General features: G+C 44.0%; 1 protein-coding gene and 1 long non-coding RNA gene across 3 annotated transcripts in view; one reads left to right on the top strand and one right to left on the bottom strand.

Moving 5' to 3' along the window:
* SLC25A48 (solute carrier family 25 member 48) overlaps positions 1-23,449 on the bottom strand; it is a 309,466-nt gene that overhangs the window by 231,528 nt on the left and 54,489 nt on the right. For both annotated transcript variants that reach the window (NM_001349335.2, NM_001349345.2), the window contains exon 3: positions 22,154-22,341. The gene's annotated coding sequence lies outside the window, so the exon portion shown is untranslated. The remainder of the gene's footprint in view (positions 1-22,153; positions 22,342-23,449) is intronic.
* Positions 3,175-8,427, top strand: SLC25A48-AS1 (SLC25A48 antisense RNA 1). The gene is made up of 3 exons (NR_027127.1): positions 3,175-3,268; positions 4,649-4,755; positions 6,587-8,427. It is a non-coding gene; the product is annotated as an SLC25A48 antisense RNA 1 (long non-coding RNA).

Below are 23,449 nucleotides of genomic sequence, written 5' to 3'. Positions count from 1 at the left end.
GAGAAGAGTACCCAATATTGTGAGTGCCCATTCAGATGCCCATTGAGGAGGGGTTATGCTGGGTGCTCCCAGAGGGTGGAGGGGCAGGCAAACTGCTCACCCTGAGATGGAGGATATACTTGTTTCCTAGGGCTGCCATAACAAAGTATCACTAACTGGGTGGCTTCAGACAGCATATTATTGTTTCACTATTTAAAAGGCAAGAAGTTCAAGATCAAGGTGTCTGCAGGGCCTTGGTCCCTCAGAAACATGTGGGGCATTCTTCCTGGCCTCCTCCCAGCTTCCAGTGTTTTGCTGGCAGTGGCAGTCCCAGGCGTTCCTTGGCTTGCAGATGGATACCTCCCATCTCTGCCTTTATTATCACATGGCCTTCTCCCTGCATATCTCTTCTACTCTTCTGATAAGGAAACCAGAATTGAGGGCCTGCCATACTCCAGGATAACCTCATCTTAATTTAACTAATTACATTTGCAATTACCCCATTTCCAAATAAGGTCACATTCTGAGGTACTAGGAGTTAGAATTTCAACATGTCTATTTTGGAGGGGATACAATACCACCCATAACAGAGAGGGGGACAGTCCCCAGAACACGGAGAAGATGGTGTCTCAGGGGTTCCATAATCAGCAAGGTCCAGTGTCCTGGGAGGATGGCAGAAAGTTAGCAGACCTCCAAAGCAGGAACCAGGACCCAGGACCCAGGGATCTCAGCTCTTGCAATAGTCTGGTGCCCAATCTGGGTGTAAAAATAGCAAAGCTGCCCTAGCCAGACTGTGTCAGATTGGACAAGTAGCACATCAGGATGGCCAGTGTGAGATGGGGACCAGAACACCTTCCCGTGTGCTGGCCAATGTGGTCCTGAGAACTTTCACAACCCAGGATAGCGGGGGATTGGAGAAGGAGTCCCAAGAGGGACAAAAATCAAACCCCTAGTCTTGAAGCCGAGCTTATTTTAAAAATTAATGTAAACAGAGAGTTCTTAAAGCCAACTAATGTGATGACTGCAAATTTATAGCTATTCTAAACATATTCCTTCACCTATAGTCACACTCCTCTCCCATGCACTGCACAAGGACCAGCCCTCAGGATAAGAAAGACATGAGTCAACGTGGCAAACGGGGTCAAAATTGACAGAAAGAGGGCAATCATGCATGTCAGTGGGGAATAATGATGAACCTGGAGAAACCAGTATTGCTCCAGACCCCCCTCCCAAATCCTTGCAGAAAAGAATATTAATAAAATAAAATTCCAAAATCTGATCCCAGAGCAATAATAGAACACCCATGCCAAACTTCACAGCCGTGGGGAGGATGCATGTAGCTGAGCAATCTGTGGATAGCATTTCTCAGCTGAAATTCTTGAAAGCTTGTAGTGCTCAGGCCAAAAGGCTCTGGAAACCAAGTCCTGTGGAAAATGCAAACTTTATGAATCACACATGTGGCCACAAAGCCAGCCCTGCAGCTCTGAGTGAAAAGATTTGCACAGAAATCTGTCCCCACACTGAAGACCACCAGGGCTGATGTAGAGCGTACTATGGGCCCTGAGAGGATAGGAAACTCACTCAGCCCTTTGGGGACTTTCTTGGCAAACTCTGGAAGATACAATCCAGTGGAGCTCTGGGCTGGAATTAGACGCGATAGACAAAAGGACCACTTCTCACTGTCTGAGTGGTCTGCCTGGAGAAGAAGCCTCCAGGGGGAGAAATGAATCCTTTTCTAGCTACTTAACTTTTTGTTCCTCCATTTTCTCATCCTTGAGACAGGGAGCACAGAAGAGCACTTATCTCATGGGGTCCTTGTGAGAGTGAAATGAGTTAATACACAGGAAGCACTTAGAAAGCGCCTGGCCCCTCAGAACAGCCAATGTAAGTTCTCACCTGCAGCAAGCACTCTTAGCAAAGCCGGGGTTTTGGAATCTTCCCCTGAAGTTGCATCTCTTCCAGCACTCCCCCTCAATTTTCATTTTTGCTTTATAGATCTCGGATTCGCTTCCCGCTTTGTCTCCCAACAACCTATTCACAATCTGGAGTGCTTCCCGCTTAATGTCATAGGACCTAAGGACAGGAAAGGCCCTGCTAGGTCCCCCAGCTTCCGCCTCTGCCCCAAGGCACAGCTCTGTTCACACTGACTCCGACAGATGGATGTCGTTTCAATACAGGAAATATTTATTGAGCATCCACTCTGGGCCAAGCCTTATGCTCAGCACTGCTAGGAATACACACAGGAGTGGGGCAGGCCGAGTTCTCGCAGTCTATGTGGAAGAACTGGAAACTCCAGCAGCAGCTGATGCTGCAGGCCACAGGCAGACTTTCTTCTTCTCTGGGAAACCCCAGTTTCTGCTCTTACGGCCTCTGACTGATTGGACAAGGCCCACCCAGATCATGAAAGGTAATCTCCTTTATGTAAAGTCAACTGACTGCAGATGTTAATCACATCTAGATTTGTGTTTGATTAAATAACTGGGTAGTGTAGCACAGCCAAGTTGATACATAAAATCAACCATCACCACAGACTCGTTTGTCCTTGCCCTGCCCACTTTATGTCCAGTGTTTCTTCCTGAGCTGTAGGTCTGTAACCTATAACAACTTTAGGCCCACCATGAGATGCAGAGAAAACAGCTTTCTGTGGAATTCTTCACCAGCTCCCCCACTTACATAAGTTTGAATCCCCTAAAGAAATCTTTCATTCCATTTCACTCATAATGGTTCTCCTTCCCTGACTGAACCCCAACTGATACAAACCCTATGTCCCAGAATCGTCTGGCCTTATAGAATATTGGAATCGACTCCTGAGCCCTTAGCTACGGCTGGTTGCAAGACCATACCTTGCAAGACTGGGGGCTCTCCAACAGGCTACAGTTGCAATTTTAAACCAGCAACCAATACATGATGCCATTTTTTCCATTGCCGTAATACATGGGCCCAGAAATCCAGCCTTCTTGCACTATTGTACCTAGTAACCCGTACTCACAATTTTGGGCACTCCTTTTCCCTAGACGGTTGCCCATTTTTGTCTCTCCTGCTGAAAATGTCACAATTGGGTCCCACTGGTGGCTGTTACATAAGCAGGCTGTGGCTCTCTGGCTGCCACTGCCACTAAGAAACAGGGGCTCTATATGGCAGGTCCCAGGTTAGCCCTGCCGCTACCCTCACCACCATCCAAAGCTTCCCAGCCCCAGAGAGAACAACATTCCCTATGAGAACCCTGAGTATATGCTTGCCCTGTGGCTGTGTCTGGCTATACAATTCCTGGAACAACTCAGTCCTGGAGGTTGGATCCCATAAGGAAATACCCGCTGTCAATGAGATATTCCTTCTCTGGCCACCCATCATGGACATGGCCTACTGATTTTGCTCTCACTGCTTTCAGCTCCTTTATCTTCCAAAGGAAGCTTATGGGGAGTGGAGATTGGTCTGTCTTATGGGAAAGTCTTCTCCCTCCCTCTGACTCTTTGTACCTCAACTAGCCTGCAGTCTCCTCCTCCTCTAGAGAAAATATGCAGAACTGGTACACTCCTCGTCTCTATCACTGTCTTGAGGTTATAATTGATATCTATGGCTTCCTTCTTCTACTAACCAATCTGTGCTTCCCCATGCTTAGTCAGGACTTCAGCAGACTGGGGTCTTTACCTGGTAGAGTGACCAAAACCTTAATTCCTGAAGGCTCTGAGTCCTCAATTACCCTGCCTATATTTTGGTTACTGTAGTTTTCCATTAACTTTTACTAGTGGGTATGGAAGTGACCTACAGAATCTCCTCGGTTCCAGAAATAGTCTCTCTTGCCCCCATTATATAGCTGCAATCCAATCATCCCGTGGTAATCAGGATCAATCACTCCAGCCAGTAGAGTAACTTCTTATTCTGCCTTTTGATTCAGTGGCCTTGTCCTGGTCTGTTTATGCAGTTATAACAAGATACCTGAAACTGAGTAATTTATAAAGAACAGAAATTTATTTCTCACAGTTCTAGAGGCTGGAAAGTCCAAGATCAGGGTGCCAGCATCTTGTGTGGGCCTTCTTGCTATGTCTTCCCATGGAAGGTGGAAGGGCAAGAGAGGATGAACGCTGTGTTCTCACATGGCAGAAGAGTGGAAGAGCGTGAACCCACCACAAAAGCCCTTTTATGATGGTGTTAATCTACTCATTAAGGTGGAGGCCTCATGACCTAAACACCTTGCATTAGGCCCTACTTCCCAACACTGTTGCATTGGAGATGAAATTTCTGATACATGAATTTTGAAGACACATTCAGACTATCACAGTCCTTAAGCCCAAAATGACCAGATCCTTCTTTCAGTTTAATGAAATCATAGTTGTAGCTCCTGTGTAAAGCTAAAATTCTGTGCATAGATTACTAGACATAATAGTAAGAGATGTAACTCTATTTATATCCCTTGATTCCCAGACCCTTGTATTCTGGCTATGGGGAAATAACGCCATATTATGGTCTCTGACTCAAAGCATATACTATGTCCTTTAAGACAGAACCCAATCCTTTCAGGGTGTTTAATCCCAAATGGTGCTCCAACTGAGTCTTCTGTAAGTGACTGCACCTTTCATTTAGCCCAGCCACTTCCAGTTAATGGGGTATATAGTGAGACCTGTTAATTCCATGGGAATTAATCCATTGCACCACTTTCTTTGCTGAGAAGTGGGTTCTTGGATCAGAAGCAACGCTATGGAGAATGTCATAATGGTGGATAGGCATTTTGTGAATCCATGGATGGTGGTGCTGGCAGAAGCACTATGTGCAAAGAAGGTAAGTCGATTTCTAGAATACATATCTATTCTCATGGTGACAAATCTCTGCCTCCTTCATAATAGAAAAGGTCCATTGTAATCAATCTGCCACCAGGTGACTGTCTACTCACCCCCAGGGAATGGTGTCATATCAGGGGCTCAGTGTTTAGTCTCTGCTGTAGATAGGTTAGGCACGCAGCTATAGTATTAGTACAGCCTTTATAAGGGGAAGTCCACCCTGTTAAGCTCCTGCATAGCCTCCATCCCTGCCAACTTGGCTTCTTTGTTCATGGTCCCATTGAGCAAGCACTAGGGTGGCTGAGGGAAGAGGCTGACAGCTTCTGAGCATGTTATTTTGTCTGATTATTAATCTCTTCTACAGTAATGATGCCCTTTGGGCATTCACACGGGACTCAAATATCTTCACCGTTTGTGCCCATTATGAGAGAGATCCATCCATATATATCTTCCCCAGACTTTATTATCACTAATCTTCCAATCCTGCTCCTTCCAAGTTCCTGTCTATCCAGCCAAACCATTAGCAACTACCTATAAATCTATGTAGATCCATACTTCTATCTTTCATTTCACACTAGTGGACAAGCAAATGCACTCCTCAAAGTTCTGCCCATAAGGTCCAATGAGGACAAAGAAACCACACAGCAATTTTCAAACAGAAAAAAAGTTTAATATGAAGAATTATTAATAAAAGAGCAGAATTAACTCTGGTAAGAGTTAAAGAATATAAGAACAGCAGATATAGGTAGCAGCCACTACCCCTAGGGCTGAGATTGATGCCCACAGAAGAGCCTCTTCCTCCCACTAGGGCTGGGATTAAGATCTTGGAGAGGGGATAGCCATGGCCTACTGGATGAGAAAAAACTAATGAAGGCAGATGACTTGCTGGTAGGACTTGCTGGGAATCTGCCTACTAAGGTGTCAGGGGAAGGTGTCCACACATGCCATGCCTAGGAACTCACTGTACAGTCACCTGAGGGAGTCCTGGGGGAAACCACTCACAAGGATGAGTGTGGCATTCCACTGGAAGGTTGCCAGAGGACATGGTTGAGAGGGAGGGGGCTGTGAGTCACTGGGCACTATAGGAGCTCAAAAAGCCCCATCTGCAGGAGCAAGGCATTGGGAAAAGGAGTTCACTGCATGAGCCTAGCACAGCAGAAACTACATGCTCTCAGGACCTAAGCCTGGAGAAAGCATGCTCTGTAGGAGCCTGGTGGACCAGGCTCATGGGAACCAGGAAGGGGAAACCCCTTCTCTCTCCAGTGTCCCTCCAATGCTCTTTGTCAATAAGGGAAAAATATTTACAAAGCCCACCTCCATTATCAACAAGCAGGAAAATAAGGGTAGATTTGGAGCTGAAAGGCAATATATTGATAACTGGCATGGATGTAGGGGTGTCAGGAAGTGGCGCCAGAGAGGAAGGCAGGGAGTAGGCCAACATATGTATATTATTCTGTGAATAAACTGAGCAAACAAAGCTCTTGATCAATAAATAGGCCTAAAGCAATCAGGAAGCAAAAAATGAGCTCCTCTGCCTATGCCCCCCATTCCACCCACCACACACACACATACACACGCACAAAGATGACAGGCTCAATCCAAAGATGGGGACTGGATGTTCTCAGTTCTGTTTGACTCTAAGCAAACCACCGTTAAAAAACAAACCTTGTGGTCCTGACATTGAAATGAGCACCTTCTCTCATTTCCCTGGAACCTGGCCAGGGCTGAGCTAACAGTAGGTGCTTAATAACAGTCAGTTGCTTTGAAAGAAAGAGTTCTGTTGTTGTTTTTTTTTTAGTTCCACTCCATCAGTGACTGCACTTTTTGTTCAGGGTCATCCCTTGTCCTGGAGTCATCCTTCTCCAAGGCAGCACCCTCCTGATGAACCCGGCTGGTTCCTGGGAACTCACTGTGTCTGGAGGCTCTCTCCCACCCCATGTGAAGGAAGCATCATCCTCAATCAATGTTGCCACACTTCTGACCTCTTGAATGCTGGCAATGTCCGTCCATTCTCATGACTAAGTGAGCTTGGAGTGTACCAGTCAAGGAAAAGGGAGGAGAAAGGAGAAACCAAACTTTGAGTAGCAATTGTCTACAGTGTGTGGCTTAGAGAATCAAGCTGACACAGGCCAGAGAATACAGGCCTCAGCAAGGACTATGAGGTTGGACAAGGCTTCACAGAATTTCTGGCACTGGAGCTGGGCCTCCTGACAGCTTTCTCTCCAAGCAATTATGGGCCACCTAAAGAAATGAGACTGCAGGAAATATAAGAATATTTTTGAAGAATATGAATGATCATAAGAAAAGGGCGAACTATGAGAATGGCCTCTGACGATGGCTGGCAGGAGAAGCGGGTGGATGTAGGAAAGGCTGCATTAATTCACTGTCTTTCTACAAGTGCTTAGGGAGCCATGGTTTTCAGCTTCTTAGCCAAGAGCTTGGCATTTTGCTGCATGGGTGCTGTGCTTAATCTAGGGCATGTCCATTCCAAGGTCTCTGATGGGTACACACATAGTCCTCTTTGCATCCTGTATACCCATGATCATCCTAACCCCAAAGCCACCCCCTACTACCCAGGACACATAGTCAAAGAAACCCTGCATGTGCATCTTCAATGCCTGTATTCCCTCACTCATTCAAACCACTCTGTGTAGCCCGAGCCCAGCCCTTCCTGGCTTTAGAGCCTTAGCCTGTGCTGTTGTGTTGCCTGGGATTCCTTTCCCTCCACCCTTTGTACACTGGCTCCTCCTAACCCTTCTGGTCTAAGTATAAAGGCACTACCCCAGAGAAGTCTTCCCTGACTACCCCATCTGAGTCACTGGCCACTCTCACCAAAGCACCCTGTCTGCTATTTGTTACCCCTTCTTCAACTGTGGTTCACCTGTTCGTATTCCTTCTCCCCAGCCGGCATACAGTCACCACCAAGTCAGGTACCCAACATAGTACCTGGGATGGATTAGACACTCAGTCAACACTTGATGAAGAAAACAATAAAGCCTTATAGACTCATGTCCCCCTCATGAGGGGTGCCCTAGCCAACTGACACCAAGTCAATCATTTACACCATTTTTTTTCAATTTGTGTTATTAACCACAGAACTCTTTTCCACCCTAAAATAATCTTATCCCACAAGACCCCATACCTAGTGATTTCTGTGGATGCTGTTGCCAAACACCTCAGGGCAAGGGCCAGGCACAGGACAGGGTTCCCGCTATTGTCTCTACTCCATCTTCCCATAAATTGGTTAGCTGGGACCTCCTCACTGAGTCGCATGGCTCCAACAAGAATCCAAAGCTGGCAACAGGAACTCTGCAGGGCTCTCCCAGAGGGAAGCTGGGAAGTTAAGGCTGCAGGCTCCAAGCCCTTGTTCCTGGAAGAGAACTAAGGAACTGGTACCATAACCGGTGTCCAGGCTGCTGGTTTGCCCCAGTTCTGGGCAGCCACAGGCCCCCAGGGGCATAATGACCAGCTAGTGCCTTGTCTTCTCCTGCCTCTTCCATGCTTTTACTGTGATTCTCATCCACAGGCACCAGAAGAAGGGGACTTTCTAAGCACTGTTTACATTCTTGTCATTTTGCCTGTGTTTAGACTTACAAAAAAATGCATCTTAATCATTTACAAGCAATCATAGGCCCTCATGGATTTCAAGTAAACTTTCCTATAAACCAGTCAACTTCAGAGTCTCTGTTCCCTCTAGGATCATAAACCCTCAGAGCTGGTAGGCCCTTAAGCTAGAGAAATTGAGGCCTTGGGGTTAGGGACCTGCCCAGGCTCACATGGCACTTAGTGCTACAGCTGGGCTGGAGCGCAGGTCTCCTGCTTCCACAGCCTGTGATTTCCATTTCATGAAAAGAAAAATCAGAGCCCATCAGCACAATGTTTCTGAGGGCATGTGGTTCTAGTTTTTAAGAGAACAAACTGATTTGAGGTTTCAAAATATTAATGTACTTAAGGTTTGGAGTAGGAATGTACATTAAGTGCACTTTCTTGGTAGTCAGCCAGGCTCCATCGTCAGGCAGGCTGGCTGCCTGATAGGAGTGCCCTGGGACTTGGGGTGCTGAAAGCATCTGCTGCACAACTCCAAGGCCTAGGACCCGAAACTGTCAAGACTTCAGCATGGCTCCAGTTAAAAGTGCCAGACCCCAGAGGCAGCCCAAGAGCAGGTCCTGGGAGAGAATGACAAAGACCTGCCCTCTCTAGCCAGTGCTGAGGATTTTCATTCAAACTCTGCACTAATTTGGGGGTTGAGGCTACCTGTACTTCATAAGACTCTCAGTGGACCCCGGAATGAATCTCCCCGTTGAGGCCTCTCATCACAGGCCACACAGGCCTGAGCCCAGAGAGGAAGAGTCTAGTGCAAAGCCAGAAGACACCAGGAGGCCCTATGCCCCTAGGACCACCACCTTCCTCTCTCTACAACCACAGGCCCAAGGCAGGAAATGAAACAAAGATCCTTCTAAAGCGCAGTGGTGGAATTTCCAAGCAGTGCTCCCAGAGAAGAGGCCTAAACTCCAAGGAGTCATACTACAAAGAAAGCTAGGGCCCCAGGGATTCCCGCCACAGGTCCTGTTCTGCAGAGAGCATTGGACTGGCACTGGCTTGGGATGGTGAGGAAGGCCCAAAGGCTGGCTTAAGAGCCTCAGGAAAACAGAAAGTGACCCCTTCCCTGCCATGAGCACAATGCAAAGACTTCATGTGTCCATGTGTCCCAGAGCCCAGGAGGCCTCCTCTGCACATGCCCTGGCTCTGTCCTCCAGGAGGCTGGGGGCTGAGGGTGGGTAGAGCACTGAGGACTGCTCTACCCTAATGAGGACTGCTCATTAGGACCCTAGGCCCTAATGATCTCCCCAGATTACAGAGATTTGGGGACAAGATGTTTTTAGAGCAAAGTCACTGATAACATCCCCAAGCTCTGGTTGTGCCATGGCCCCATGCATGACTGTGCTGTGCTTGAGGGAAGGGAGGACACAGCTCCTGTCCCTGGGATTCTTACAGAACAAATGGAGAAGGATAATAAAAATAAGTCTAAATATAATGCGGTGCCCTGGATTGGATCAAGGAACAGAACAGGACACTAGTAGAAAAACCTAGTAAAATCCAAATAAAATCTAGAATTTAGTTAATATAAAGTACCAGTGTTGGCTTCTGAGATTTTTTAAGTTTCCTCAAAACTCATTTATTTGTTTATTTCTAGTTTTATTGAGGTACAGTATAATTGACAAATAAAAACCGTATGTGTTTTTGGTGCAGAACATGACGTGTGATATAAGTACACATTGCGAAATGATTACCACAATTGACCTAATTAACATATCCATCATCTCATATAATTACCTTTTTGTGTGATGAGAACATTTTTCACTCTCTAAGCAAAGAGTGTACAATATAGTATACAATATATTGTATATCATATAATATAATATTTCAAGTATACAATATAGTATTATCAGCTATAGTTACCATGATCTCTAGAACCTATTCATCCTGTATAATTGAAACTTTATGCCCTTAGATCAACATCTTCCCATTTCCCCCACTCCCTAGTCACTGGCAAACACCATTCTACTTCTGATTCTATGAGTTCAACTTTTTTAGATTCCACTTTTCAGTGAGATGATGTAGTGTTTGTCTTTCTGTGCCTGGCATATTTCACTTAGCATTATGTCCTTCCCATTGTATATATATATATATATATAATGGGAAATTATATTATAAATGCGTATATATATACATAAATGGGAAATTATATATATAATGAGTATATACATTTAATCAGTACTTTACATGAATTAGATCATTAAATCCTTCCAAAAACTTTATGGAGACTACAATTATAATCTTCATCTTACAGCTAAGGAAACTGAGGCCAAAGCTGTAGACATCCTGAGTCTAGGTGGCCAGGAGGTGGTGGCTCAGAAGTCACCAGAACTTGAAGGAACAGAGATAAGGCAGCCACCTATACAACCTCAGGTATGGAGGGACTATTGGATCAACTTGCTAAATGGAAATCCAAGTCTAAATAAAAATGAGTGATCTGCCATAAGGCTCCTGAAACACATGCTGGGTCTCCTGAACTCCCTCCAGAGCCAAGCCGGCCGGAGAGGGCTCTTCCTCCGTGTGCAGCGTCCTCAGTGAGAATGCCACCAACACCCCTGCCTGCAGTGTGCAAATCCTTCCAGCGGGAAATTAAATTCTTTCCTATTTCCTCCCCTAGGGCCTTGGAACGTAATCCTCAGAAGCTTACTAAGGGAAAATTCTTTCTTCCTTCTATTTATAAGATTTTTTTTCAAGATTCAAAACACTTCCTAAGGCTCTTTTTCACACAAACAGAAAACTTGCAGCTATTCCCAAGTCTCTTATTAAGAATGAATTCCTGTGGCCATCTTATTGCCTGGTCATGCCCATCAATGCAATCCCTTGGCCCTATTCTCTTTACTCCTCCCTTGGCCCTGAACTTCACTGCCAGCAATTGTAGTTCAAGTTATGAGATAAAGGGAGAAGTTCTACATTCTCTCCAAACAGCACATGAGCCTACACAGGCAGAGAGCAGATTAAAGTCTCTGAGTTTTCTCTTTTGGGTATCTATGCTTTCCTGAGTGCTGGAACTATGAAGCAGCTGCTAGTAAAACATGAGCCACTGAAGGACAAGCCCCAGGCAGGAAGGAAGAGGTTTCATGTGGGGTCCAGTAGTCTCTGCCCTCAATTTCAATCATGAGCAGCAGAGACCAGGCTGACCTGTCTTCCCTAAAAACACTTTTCTAAGAAGGGTTATGATCACAGACTTGGCAGAACTCAGGGCACTTGCGCAACCATGTCACAGCAACTCAGAGTGAATTCGAACTCAACACATGTGTCAGGCTTTGCGCTTAGTGGCTGAATCAATCTTATTAGAAAAAAATCCCCATTTCGTCCTCAAGGTTTTAACCACTTTCTAGTGGTGACGCCAGCTAGCAAGGCCACAGCTGAGACGCTGATGGTTGTTCAGGGGTATTTCATGCTCAGTGAATAATTATGTGAACAAAATAACACAAAGTGGTTGCCAACAGCTATTAGACCTGTGAAAAATAACAATGGAAAACTCAGTTGACTGGCTATCAAAGGGCCCTCACAGAAAGGAGGAAACCAGCTGTGGCTCCACATCTGTACACTCAAACACAATGCAAAAGAAGTGAACAACCAAAGGGAAAACTGTCCACAAGTCCTTACTCTCGGAATTATATCAACGCTCCCGTACGCCATTTAATTGGCTGAGAGTTGGTTTCATTCCAAACTGGCGTGCACCTGAGCAGTGCAGAGGAAGCCTTGTGGAGCCTTTGGCTGTTTTAGAATGGGGACAGATGGAGCAGGAGACAGGAAAGCGGATCCCCCTTGCCTTCAAATACAAGAGTTCTTGTATTTGAACTGGAGTTCTCTCTTCAGAGACTGCACTGCCTTCCACTGTAGGTAAGCCCAGCTCAGAAGTCAACAGTGATGGCAATGGAAAGCCTTGGTGGAAAGTCCCTCCCTGCAGGTAAAATCAGTGCTAGGTGGCAGCCTCACTGTCAACTTACACTTGGGAAAGTGACCTCCCGGGCATGAGGATGAGCAGAAAAATGGTCTTCATTTCATTTCTAATCTCTGGGGAAAAGTTCCATGTGTTGTGCAAAGAGCATGGCTTTGGAACCACACAAATCTGGGTCTGACTCCTAGCTCCATCATTCATCAGCTGGGTGGCCTCAGGGAGGTGACTTAACCTCTCCGAGCTTCAGTTTTCTTATCTGCTTTGCAGGGCTATGATGAAGACTAATGATAATGAATATAAAGCCTCTGGAATGATGGCAGTGATGCAGACACTTAGAACAAATGCTGGCTATTTTCATTAATATTAGCAGGTGGCACTGCCCCAGACAGCCTAGAGACATGTGCACCTGGGGTTCATCAGATGTCACCATCAATCACAAATCTGCACTCAGATCAGAAACATTACTGCCCCAAACCCTCATGGCTTTTACCGTCTGTGTCAGACGGTAAAAGTCAGACTCCAGAATTTTAGCTGTCCTGTGTCATCTTCCACCACCTGTTTTCACAAGTCCCAGGTTCCCACCATATTAGGCTTCTCAGTCCAAATATGCCCTGCTCAGTTCTGACACTTTTGCAAAGGCTGGCCCTCCTACTGGGTTTTTTTTTTCTCCCCATCCGCAACTTGCTGAAATTCCATTTGTCTTTCAAAGTCTGTCTCATGAATCATCTTCTCCAAAGAGCCTTCTCTAATCTCTTTATTTGAATAACCTCCTTGGCCCCTCCATAGCACAGTGTGTAACATCAAATGCTTATCATAAGAACTAGATTAAAGTATCTATTTTCTCTGAGATCAGTCCTCTGGCTCTAATAAAGAGTGTGGGCTCTGGAGTTTAAACCCTGGCTCTTCCTTTTACTAGCAGCAGCCTTGGTCAAGTTACTTAGCTCTCTAAGCCTTAATCTCCTCATCTGCAAAATAAGATGATAATCATAGCGCTAAACACATGGCATTGTTGGGAGGATTAAATGTGATGATGCTGGTGAAAATGTCTGCCACATATTAGTGCAGTAAATGTTGGTAGCTGCTGCTCTGAGAACTTGTGCGAGTTAACGGGGTCGCTGCTCACTAACCTGGGAGCTCCCCAAGGCCAAGAACAAGATTGTCCCACAGAAAAAACATGGTTTCTGGCATGACGAGATGCCCATAAATGTTGGCTGAAAGGACCGGACTTTCCATTGGGAGAGTTGACTCTGCGAAGGCTGAGATGGTGTCTGTCCTGACCTCTCTGAGTGGGGCAGAGGGCAAGTCACCCCTTCATTAGCATTGCAGGAGAGCAAGGCCCATGAGAGACAGGCTAGATGGGAGATGCTCTTCTGTGCAGTGATGGGGCCATCTTGGCACCAAGAACCAATTCTTGTTCCACCCTTACTTCCAGCCCAGAGGCTCTTCCTGCAAGTGTGGCTGACTGACATTCTGAATTGGTCACCATAGAAGGGCCTAGAAACTCAGCTCAGCCTTCTCTTCACAGAGTCTTGTGTGTTCAGCCCCAGACTGAGAAGGGCTGAAAACACACAAGGACTCTGGCCTCATTCTCACTGAGGCTGCAGCTGTTCTCAGCTTTTTCCCCACCGCCCGTCAGGAAGCAACTCAAAAACATAATCAAGCAGCTGTGTCTGTAAAAAGAACCTGCTTCAGAACAATACATCGTGTCCACCAAGGATGTGTCGCAGTCCGGGTGACGGGACGGCTGACATACATGTTGGGGGCTGAGTCTATTCAGCGCACCCCAGACTGCTGACTGTTCTCTGCCCACTTCCCTTCCTGTGTGCTGGGGGTTTAGGACTTGCGTTGCTGCCGCCCTGGCTCCCACTGGCCTGGGTCCTTTCCCTCAGAGCCTATGTGTGAGATAGTCTCTCAATTTCTTTGCAGAAGCCATAAGTGATGTGCTTAGTCCTGTGGATACCATCTGAGCCTGTGCCCTTTTCTCTCTACTCTTGAGCAAGTGCCCATCAGGAGCCACATTTGAGTCAGGACCTGCCAAGAGCATTTTCATCTCATCCTCAGTTCCCCTTTTGTCTGGAACCACTCGCTATGAGTTTCTATGAGATCGTAGCCAGGTTTGACCAAACCACTCCTGCACACATGTTGTTTTGAAAGATTAGCACAGAATCCAACACAACATTTCCCTTGGATTCATCTTTCAAGCCAACAGAGAAAGAGCTATTTCCAAAAAAATAACACATTATTAACCAATGAATAAGAGCCAAGAAAACAATGTAGCCAGCATATTTATTCCAAACAGCTTGTTTAGAATGCAAATTGCAAATACATCTATTTCCACCCGGCTCTTTGGGGAACCATGCTGTAGACCTCTTTGAGCCAGCAGAGCCAAGCAAGCTACCTAAGGGGTTTTGGTCCTGCCCACCAGGCAGGGGCTGTCCCTGACAGGGCAGTCCTGGGTTCTCCCAGGTAAGAACTTGCTCCATGCCAAAGGGCTCCTTCCCAGAGCCCTGCTACCTCTCACACCTCCCACTTGAGAGCAACACTCCTTCATCCCAAGCTCTACCTTTGCCTTAAAAGCAGCCATCTGGCCCTAGTAATCAGCACCATCAGAGAAGCCTCCCTCTAAACAAAGGTAATTTCCCTGTGAGAAGAGAAAACCAAACACCACTATGACAGCCACCATCAGTAGATGTCAGAACTGGCCCCCAAGCGTGCGAAGGTCCAAACCAATTTGATTTATGAAAGCTAAACAAACTTCCCAGTAGGTTTGGCATATCCATAGCATTGGAGAAAGGCCTTAATTATACTACCACTGCTCATTAAAGAGATAAGATCTTAGAAAAGACAAGCTATGTTCTGCCTTCAGAAAAATATGTAAAGCCATCTGGCTCTATGTATTACACTAGTTGTCAATAGCCTGAGGCTATATGAAATGCCCAGCATTTTCATCTTCCAGGCTCTGGGGGTGGAAGAGGAGTGAGATGTCCAAGTGAGCACTCTGCGACTAGCAGCATGGTGATGAAGGGGATGATGGTGATGTATTGGAGCATTCCTGTTTCCACAGAGCCCCAGAGACAGATACTGCACATGGACTAGATGAGATGCCAAAGCATAATAAAAAAGCCAAAGAAAGAAACAGCGCTGGAGTTTATCACAGAAATGCCTCCTGTTGGGTAAGCAAGGGAATAAGATTCATATGACCCCTTTCCCAAGCCAGAAGGGACAAATTCTGCCCTACAGCTACCCAAAGAGGTCATCACTAATGCTGATTGGAGAGCATCAGTTAGTATTAATAAGAACTGACTATGTAAGCAAGAGTTCCAGTACCCTCTGGGAGCCTATGTTGTTCTTCAAATGAGAGTCCCTTGGAGCAAATATTGATTTATACTGAGTCTACACTACAGCACAAGCCCCACAAGTCCCTCTTCTCACAATCAGGACCCAGAGAAAGAGCCAACTGTGAAACTTAAAAGACTTTCTGCACCAAAGGACTCTCAGTCCTTGGACCTCTCTTCTTCCCTCTCCATCCTTATTCCTTAGAGGATTTCATTCATCCAAAGGTCACAAATATCTTCTAAAATCTATTTCTACATTTATTTCTCCATGACAGGCCTCTTCCTCAAACCCTATATTTCAAATCGAACTGCCAACCTGACATTTCAGACTTAACACGTCCCAAGCCAAGCTTCTGATTAATCGTGTATGTTGACCTGCAATGATATTCATTTTATTAATTCCAGTATTTTTTTCTGTAGATTCTTCAAGATTTTCTACATACAAGATGACATTGCTTGTGAATAAAGACAGTTCTATTTCTTTCCAATTTATATGTCTTTAATTTCTTCTTGCTCCATTTCAGTGCATATGACTTCCAACGAAATGTTGAATAGAAATGATGAGTACAGACATCCTTGTCTTATTCCTGATCTTAGGGGAAAAATGTTCAGTCTTGAATGATTAAGTATGATGTTTGCTGTAGATTTTTCATAGATGCCTTTTATCAAATTGAGAGAGTTCCCTTCTATTCCTAGTTTTCTGAGAATTTTGATCATGAATGGGTGTTAAATTTTTGTCAAGTGCTTTTCCTGTATTTATCAAGATGATCATATGGTTTTTCTTTTTTGTTCTTTTAATCATAGTGAGTTATGATTATTAATTTTTAAATGGTAAACCAAGCTTCTATTTCTGAGATAAATTTCAATTGGTCATAACTAGTATAATACTTTTTATATATTTCTGGGTTCAATTTCCTTATAACGTGTTAAGGATTTTTTATGTTTGTCTGTGTTCAGAGGGATATTGGTCTTTAGTTTCCTCTTGTATAATATTTTGTCAGGTATTGTATCATGCGGAAGGTTTTATTCTTTTTTATTTGTTTTCAGCCAGTGACTATAATGTCCCTTGGTATGGGTTCTTTTAAATGAATCCTACTTGGGGTTTGCTGATCTTTTGAAGTTGATGTTTTCCAAAAAATTTGGGAAATTTTGAGCCAATTATTTCTTAAAGTATTTTTCTGCCTCATTCTCTCTCTTATCTTTGAAGCCCTCCAATTACTCATATGTTAGATTGCTTGCTATTTTCCCATAGGACATGAGTCTCTGTTCAATTTTTAACTCTTTCTTTTCTCAATTCTTCAGATTGAAACATTTCCATTGTTCTCTCTTCCAATTCACTGGCCCTTTCGTCCACAGTCTGCAATCTCCTGTTAATCTAGTTCAAGGAATTTTTCATTTTAGATATTGTGCTTTTCAATTTAAAATTTCCATTTGGTTTGTTTTTACAGTTTTCATCTGTTTCCCCATTAAGTCCATCTTTTCCTTTAAGTTCTTAGACATATTTATAGTAAGGTTTTTAATTCCTTGTCTGCTAATTACAACATCTGGGTTGCCTTATGGTTTTTATTTTTTCTTGACTAGCAATCACATTTTACTGCTTCTTAGTATGTCTAGTAATTTTTGTTGTATTCCTCACACTGTTCCCACTGTTTGGGAATCTGAATAATGTTCTCATCCTTTAAAAGCTATTGCTGTTTGTTCTAGAAGATACTTGTCATTGGTGGGTCCTCTTGATATTGCTGAGTTTGATTTTATTCTTTGTTAGAACTGATCTAGTTTGGGTTTTGTTTCTTTTTCCTTAGTCTCAGGGTATGAACTTTACTCTAGAGCATGGTCCTTATTCCTAATACATGACCTTTCCAAGATAATAACTGAATGTTTGAGATGCTTATTGAGTTCTCTCCATTCTGGCTTGATCATAATTCATCTTTGAGCTCTTTGAGACCTCTTATATTTATATTAAGCTCCCAAACCCTGAGCAGCCACTCTCCCCGCCTATACACAAACACTGCAGCCCTCAGCCAAGAATCCGAGGACTCCTATTTAAATTTCTGAACAATTCTTGTCATCTACAATATCCTACCCCATTGCATGCCCAAACTCTGATTTCTGCCTCATCTGTCAATTTTGATTTGCTATATTTTATTTTTTCAAAAAAGCTGGTGATGGGTGTTTGTGGAATATAAAGCTTTCTGAACAACACATAAGAGCTGTGAGACTGAAAGTTTTCATTGTCTGGCATCTCCCTTGCTGTACTATAGCCCTTTATGCACAAAAGTAACTTCTGATGATCTTAGAACCATTATAAAGACAAAGTTGGTAGTTAACAGCCCCAGCTGTGCCAAGTAACTGTTGCCCAAAAGAACATATTGAATGCACTTTTCATATCTGTTGGTATCTGAATATCATTTTTGGGCCGCATATTTTTCGTATTTTAGCTTCTTGGTTAATCAGACAGCGTGGCTATGAGACTAATACTACTTAAGTTCTTTGAAAATTCAATTTAAAATGTAGTATCTAATCCATTTAGTTAGAAGAAGAAGGTGAGAGCAAAAATTTGAAAGAAATGAAAGTCATTTATATTTAAGATTGTGTTTTGTCTTGCTGGGTTTTTTTGAGAACATAATACCTTGTCATTGGCTTTCTTGACAAGATGCAGAGGAAAGGTTCATATAGTGCTTATATAGAGTTGAAACATGGTGTATCACGATTTATATAAAGACAATGATGTATGCAGATTATGGTTTTCATTAAATCTGAGGCCAATTGATCATAAGACGTTATATTTGGTATCTAAATTAAACTATGACATGATACCTTATCAATAGCCATGTGAGACACATGAAATCAATCACACCACTAATGCTTCAAAATTTCTTTCATCCTATCCCTGGGGATTTGGTATTTCTCTTTCCTTTAGTAGCATGACTTAAGTGATACACAATCCACTGCACACAACTCAGAAACAAAATGAGCACAGTTTTATCTACTTGTGGCTAACTTATTTGTTTAGGTCTTGTAAAGCCTTGTTACTCAAACTGTGTTCTGGACCTGAAGCATTGATATCACCAGGGTGTTGGCTACAAATGAAGAACTGCTGCCTCCCCTCCCCCACCTACCAAATATTTTTAACAATATTCCCAGGTGATTTGATTTGTTGGCACATTAAAGTGTAAGCCATATTTTCACACAGTACTTGGTGTTCTGCAAGAAAATACAGAATTTCGGTTATTTCTCCAGTGACAAATATTAATATTTGTTTCACTAATATCAGTTTTACATCTACTCTTTTTTTGTTTTATTTCAATACCAAAGCATAGTATAATTTATTTTAAAACATTACAAATTTCAATTAAACTTAACATATGTAGAATCAAAATGCATACAGCTTCAAAACACAATTGCAGCGAATATGTTAATAGCTAAGACCAGGTCTTCACATGCATAGATGATGACAACTATGTCACAACTGTTCCGTGGCTGACAGTAACTGCACAATGCCCTTAATTTTATAGATGTTAAAATGTGGAAAATAAGGAGAAAAGTATATCTTAAAATTGGTGAAATAGAATAAGTGATGAAAAACATACTCATTCTTGATCTAGATTTGGGCTTTTCTGATGCCAGGAATCAAAGTACTTGAGCTACAACAACAACAACAACAACAACAAATACAGCCCAAACATCCAGTACAGGCCTTGTCTATGTGGCCTGCCTAGTCAGTAGAGTCTCCAATTAGTTTCCCGAAAAATGACAGGAGGCTGAGGATGCCACCTTAACAAAGAACAGGGGTTGAGCCCCCTAACCCACCTTGTAACCAAAGTCTCTGCTACTTGTGAAAGGGATTTTCTGTGCTTTGCTATCTACCAGAGTTTTCAGCACTCTTGCATTTCTCTCCCGATGGAAAAACACATTGGCCAAAGAAGACCTGCTGGGTTAAATAAAATTGCTATACTCCTCATCTTGATCTTTAGCATGAAAACACTAAGGAGTTAGGGGCCATGAATAAATGAACCCCTCAACAATCTTTCATCCAGTTTTCCCTGATTGGCTTCAGAGACTGAAGCTCTTGAAGTTGGTAACATCTTTCTCTTTTTTGTGTTCCTTCATGCTTGCTCGAACTTTCCTTTCCAAGAAGTGGGAGGCATGGGGGTCGGGGGGAAGAAGAGGAGAGAGAAAGAGAATTAATTAATTAGTTGATTTAATCTGGAAATCCTGGGAATTCTGCAGCAGCCACCTCTTTACGAAGCTTTCCTCCTCTGGTTCAACTCCAGCAGGAAGGTATGGTTTCACTGTGTAGGTTGTTTCACCATTTTCAGAACCAGCATGTGATAGAAATTTTACTTGTTGGTGATTTGTGTTGACCACATTGGTGATAAATTATAAACTCTGAAGGCCAGAGACAGGGTCAGTTTAACTCACTGTGCATATCAACTCCAAATCTAAATGGCTATTAAACAAATGCCATTTACTGCTGTGAGTAGCTGTGTTTGTTCACAGCAGCTGGCTTTTAAAGGTCATCTTTTATATTTCCACCCTACTCGTAACGGATACCCACTCTTCCTCTCTATCCCTCTGCACCAAGGCAGCATAGAAGTTGGGGAGTTCCTCCTGAGTCCCGTGGGAAGCAGACCCCACTTCAGCAGAGATGCAGAACGTGGCTTGGTTTGGCTATCAATAGCCCACATGTTTTCTGGTGTGTGAATATAATGTTACTCAACCTCGAGGTAACGGAAGTTGAAAATTGGCACCAGAGTCCAATATCTAAAGACTTTGGCTACTGTGCATGCAGTTGCTACAGATGATGTTTCTAATACAAGAACTATGGGCTTATTCCACTCCACATGCTGAGCTATTGATCAGGCCTAATGATGGTGCTGTTAAATCCCCTGCCTGTCACTGCAACGTGAGCAGATTCCTGCAGCCATATGTGTGACAGAAGCTACCCAGAGCTTCATGGGGAAGGTGTTCTCTGCTCTTAGAAGTCAGACACAGAAACTGGTCCCTTTCCATAGCAGGGACACCAAAAATAGCAAACCACAAACATTGTAGCAATTTACATATGACTACCATTGAGGCTTAAAATTTCACATCATCTTCTTTGACCATCCAGTCAGAAGTGACCTTTCTACAACTGGAGACCTCCAAGCACATTCTCTGCCCCTCTCTCATGGAACAAAATACTTAAGAGTCTTGGCTGACTTGTCTCTCGCTCATTAAACAGTGAGCCACCAAGAGCTGAGACCATGCCTCACTCACTGTTTCCCCACAGTGTCCAGCACACGGCCTGCACAAAGTAGATGCTTTATTGTGATTGTCGAATGAAATTAACTGGAAATGTAATGAGCTAGATCTGGAGTAACCTATATGTGGGCAATCTGGTGGTCAGTACAAGATTATTATCCAAGACCAGTACATAATCATTACTCTTTTTTCATGAGAATCATTCACCTCTAATCTTAACTCCCTTCTTCTTTAAATATCTGTAGAAATAGGAACCAGAAATGGGAATGGGGAGTTGGGGGACTACTCATTAATAGGAAAGAATGACAGACTCTGGCTGGGTATAATTTTCTGACATTTGCTTCGGGATGGACTTACTTTGGTCCTCAAAAAGGTATCAAATCTGACAGACGTCAGACAGAAGGAACGATGACTGGAATGGGCTGTACCAAGAGGTAGTGGGTTTCCTGTCACTTAGCGGTATCCCATTAAAGCAGTGGTATGCAGGATCTGGCTCATACTTTCTCGTGAGAGCTAGCTGTCAGTATCTCTTCCCAATTCTGCGTTCATGGATGTCTTGTTGGTAAATTGAAACCAGCCGTGGTGGGACTATTTATACCATGGAAACTGACAACCGCAAATCAAGACTGTTTTACTTTCTCCAGAGAGCCACTTGTTAAACATTTACCAGCATACCACTGATTCATTCAAGGCAAAATGACCAGTATTAAGAAAATCTGTAGATGAAATCCTGCACTAAAGCATTGGCTGGTAAGATAACCTCTAAGGCTCCTCTAGTGCCAAGGTTTCAAAACATCTCTTATCCCAGCTGGAGACAGAGGTCCCATGCCTGGGATTGTTGCTGTTGTTGGTGTTATCATTACCAGCTTCCCAGGTCTGTCCACTCTACCTGTTTAATTATGGACTTAGCAGAGGTCTGAATCCAACACTACCATTACAACCAGACCCCAGCTCAATAAACGCAGTTTCAGCATCTGGCAAGCAATCCCTCTCAGAGCCCTGAGCTGGCAGATGTCTTGAGATGATTTCCTGATCTGTGGCAGGAGAATGTTCCACCAACCCCACTGCAGTTGTGGAATAGCCCTGGATTCCACACGCTGGTACACCCACAGAGGCCAGAGGGCAGAGTCACAATCACTAGAGTTTTCCTGCAGACAGAGGACACCTTCAGAGGCCAGCCCCAGGAATCCTGTTCCCATGTGGAACAGAGACATGGGGGGCCACCGGGAAGAAGGATGGGTATGTGGAGTCAGAGGAGACACAGATGGAGGCAATTAGCCATTGTCATAAAACAAAGCTGCAGCAACAGCAGTACTCACTGCCTGGGTGACACTTGTCTTCCTCCCATGAATAAGGAATTCATCTGGCTCCAGAGTTCTTGGTCTTTAGAGCCCCATCTGCCCTGGAGAGATGACTCTCCCCAATGTGGCTATGGCTACTTGGTTTCTTCTTAACACGGTGGCACAGCGCAGGCCTGGCATGCAGCAGATTCTTAAAAAGTATTTGCCTAGTGAGCAAACAAATGAGGAAGCCATTGGAGCTCTGTCTTGGGACTCCCAGACTTCACCCCCTTTTGAGGGTCCAAACAAGCTCCTCTCCTCCAGAAGGCCTTTCTAAACACAGGTGTCAACTATGTCATCCACCCAGGACAACACTGAACCCCAAATCACTGCTTTCCCTTCTCAAAAATCTTCCAATGCAAGTCAGTCTTTTATGACCTTCTCTTTGGGTTTGTCTTGTTTCCCTAGGGAAATCATGAGCTCCTGGAAGGTAGGGCCCAAGCCTTCTCTTTCTCTAGTGTCCTTCCATGGTGTTGAGTTCAACATAAGCTGGACATATCTTAGGAGTCCCATGGCCCCATGATGATTGGCCATTAGCCAGAACTTCCACTCCTTGGGTCACAGCTCAGCTCTAGAAGGTATTTCGCCCTTCCCTCCTGAATGGCTTCTCCTAGATGATTTTGGAAGAGATGCCTGTTATTTGCATTTGGTACACTGGGTTGCAGGATGGACCCTGTGCCAGCATCGTCTCCTTGGCCGTTAACAGAAGTGTCCACCACATCCCTCTTGAGGAGGCAGCATAGTCCACAGGCCAAGCACACACAGCACCCCCACACCACCTAGGCAAGTCTAGAATTGGCCCTGCCTTCTTACCTTGTTTTTGGAGAGCAAATAGGACTGGTGAGAGATAGAGCCATGGGCAAGGTACCCCCATAGCACAGCAACAGAAGTAGAAGAATGCACTCGGCCTTGCCCAATTCTAATTTAGTCTCTGAAAATAGCTCAAGCTCTGGGAGAAATGCATCTACCCTCCCTGATACTGAGAGAATTCAGAAGTTATGTGAGGAATATGTTAGCCATTTGCCAATATAAGATTTAAATTAAGTTAAAAAAAATTTAAAGATCACAATATTTATGCAGATTTTAAAATTGAGCAAACAATATATTTGCCACATCACTGATGCAAGAAGAGGAAAGGAAAATCAGCCTCCCTCTCCATTAGATTAAAAATCTAAATCCAGAAGAATTAGTTTTCATTTTCAGTTCTCAACTTGGTACCCTGAGAGTGGACTTGTTTTGTTCAAATGAGACACTATTAGATCATCCTCACATCTA

This window comes from Homo sapiens, chromosome 5 (genome assembly GCF_000001405.40).
Source record: "Homo sapiens chromosome 5, GRCh38.p14 Primary Assembly".
NCBI lineage: Eukaryota > Metazoa > Chordata > Mammalia > Primates > Hominidae > Homo > Homo sapiens.
Note: the sequence above shows the minus strand (reverse complement) of the source record. Positions and strands in the feature narration are given on the sequence as shown.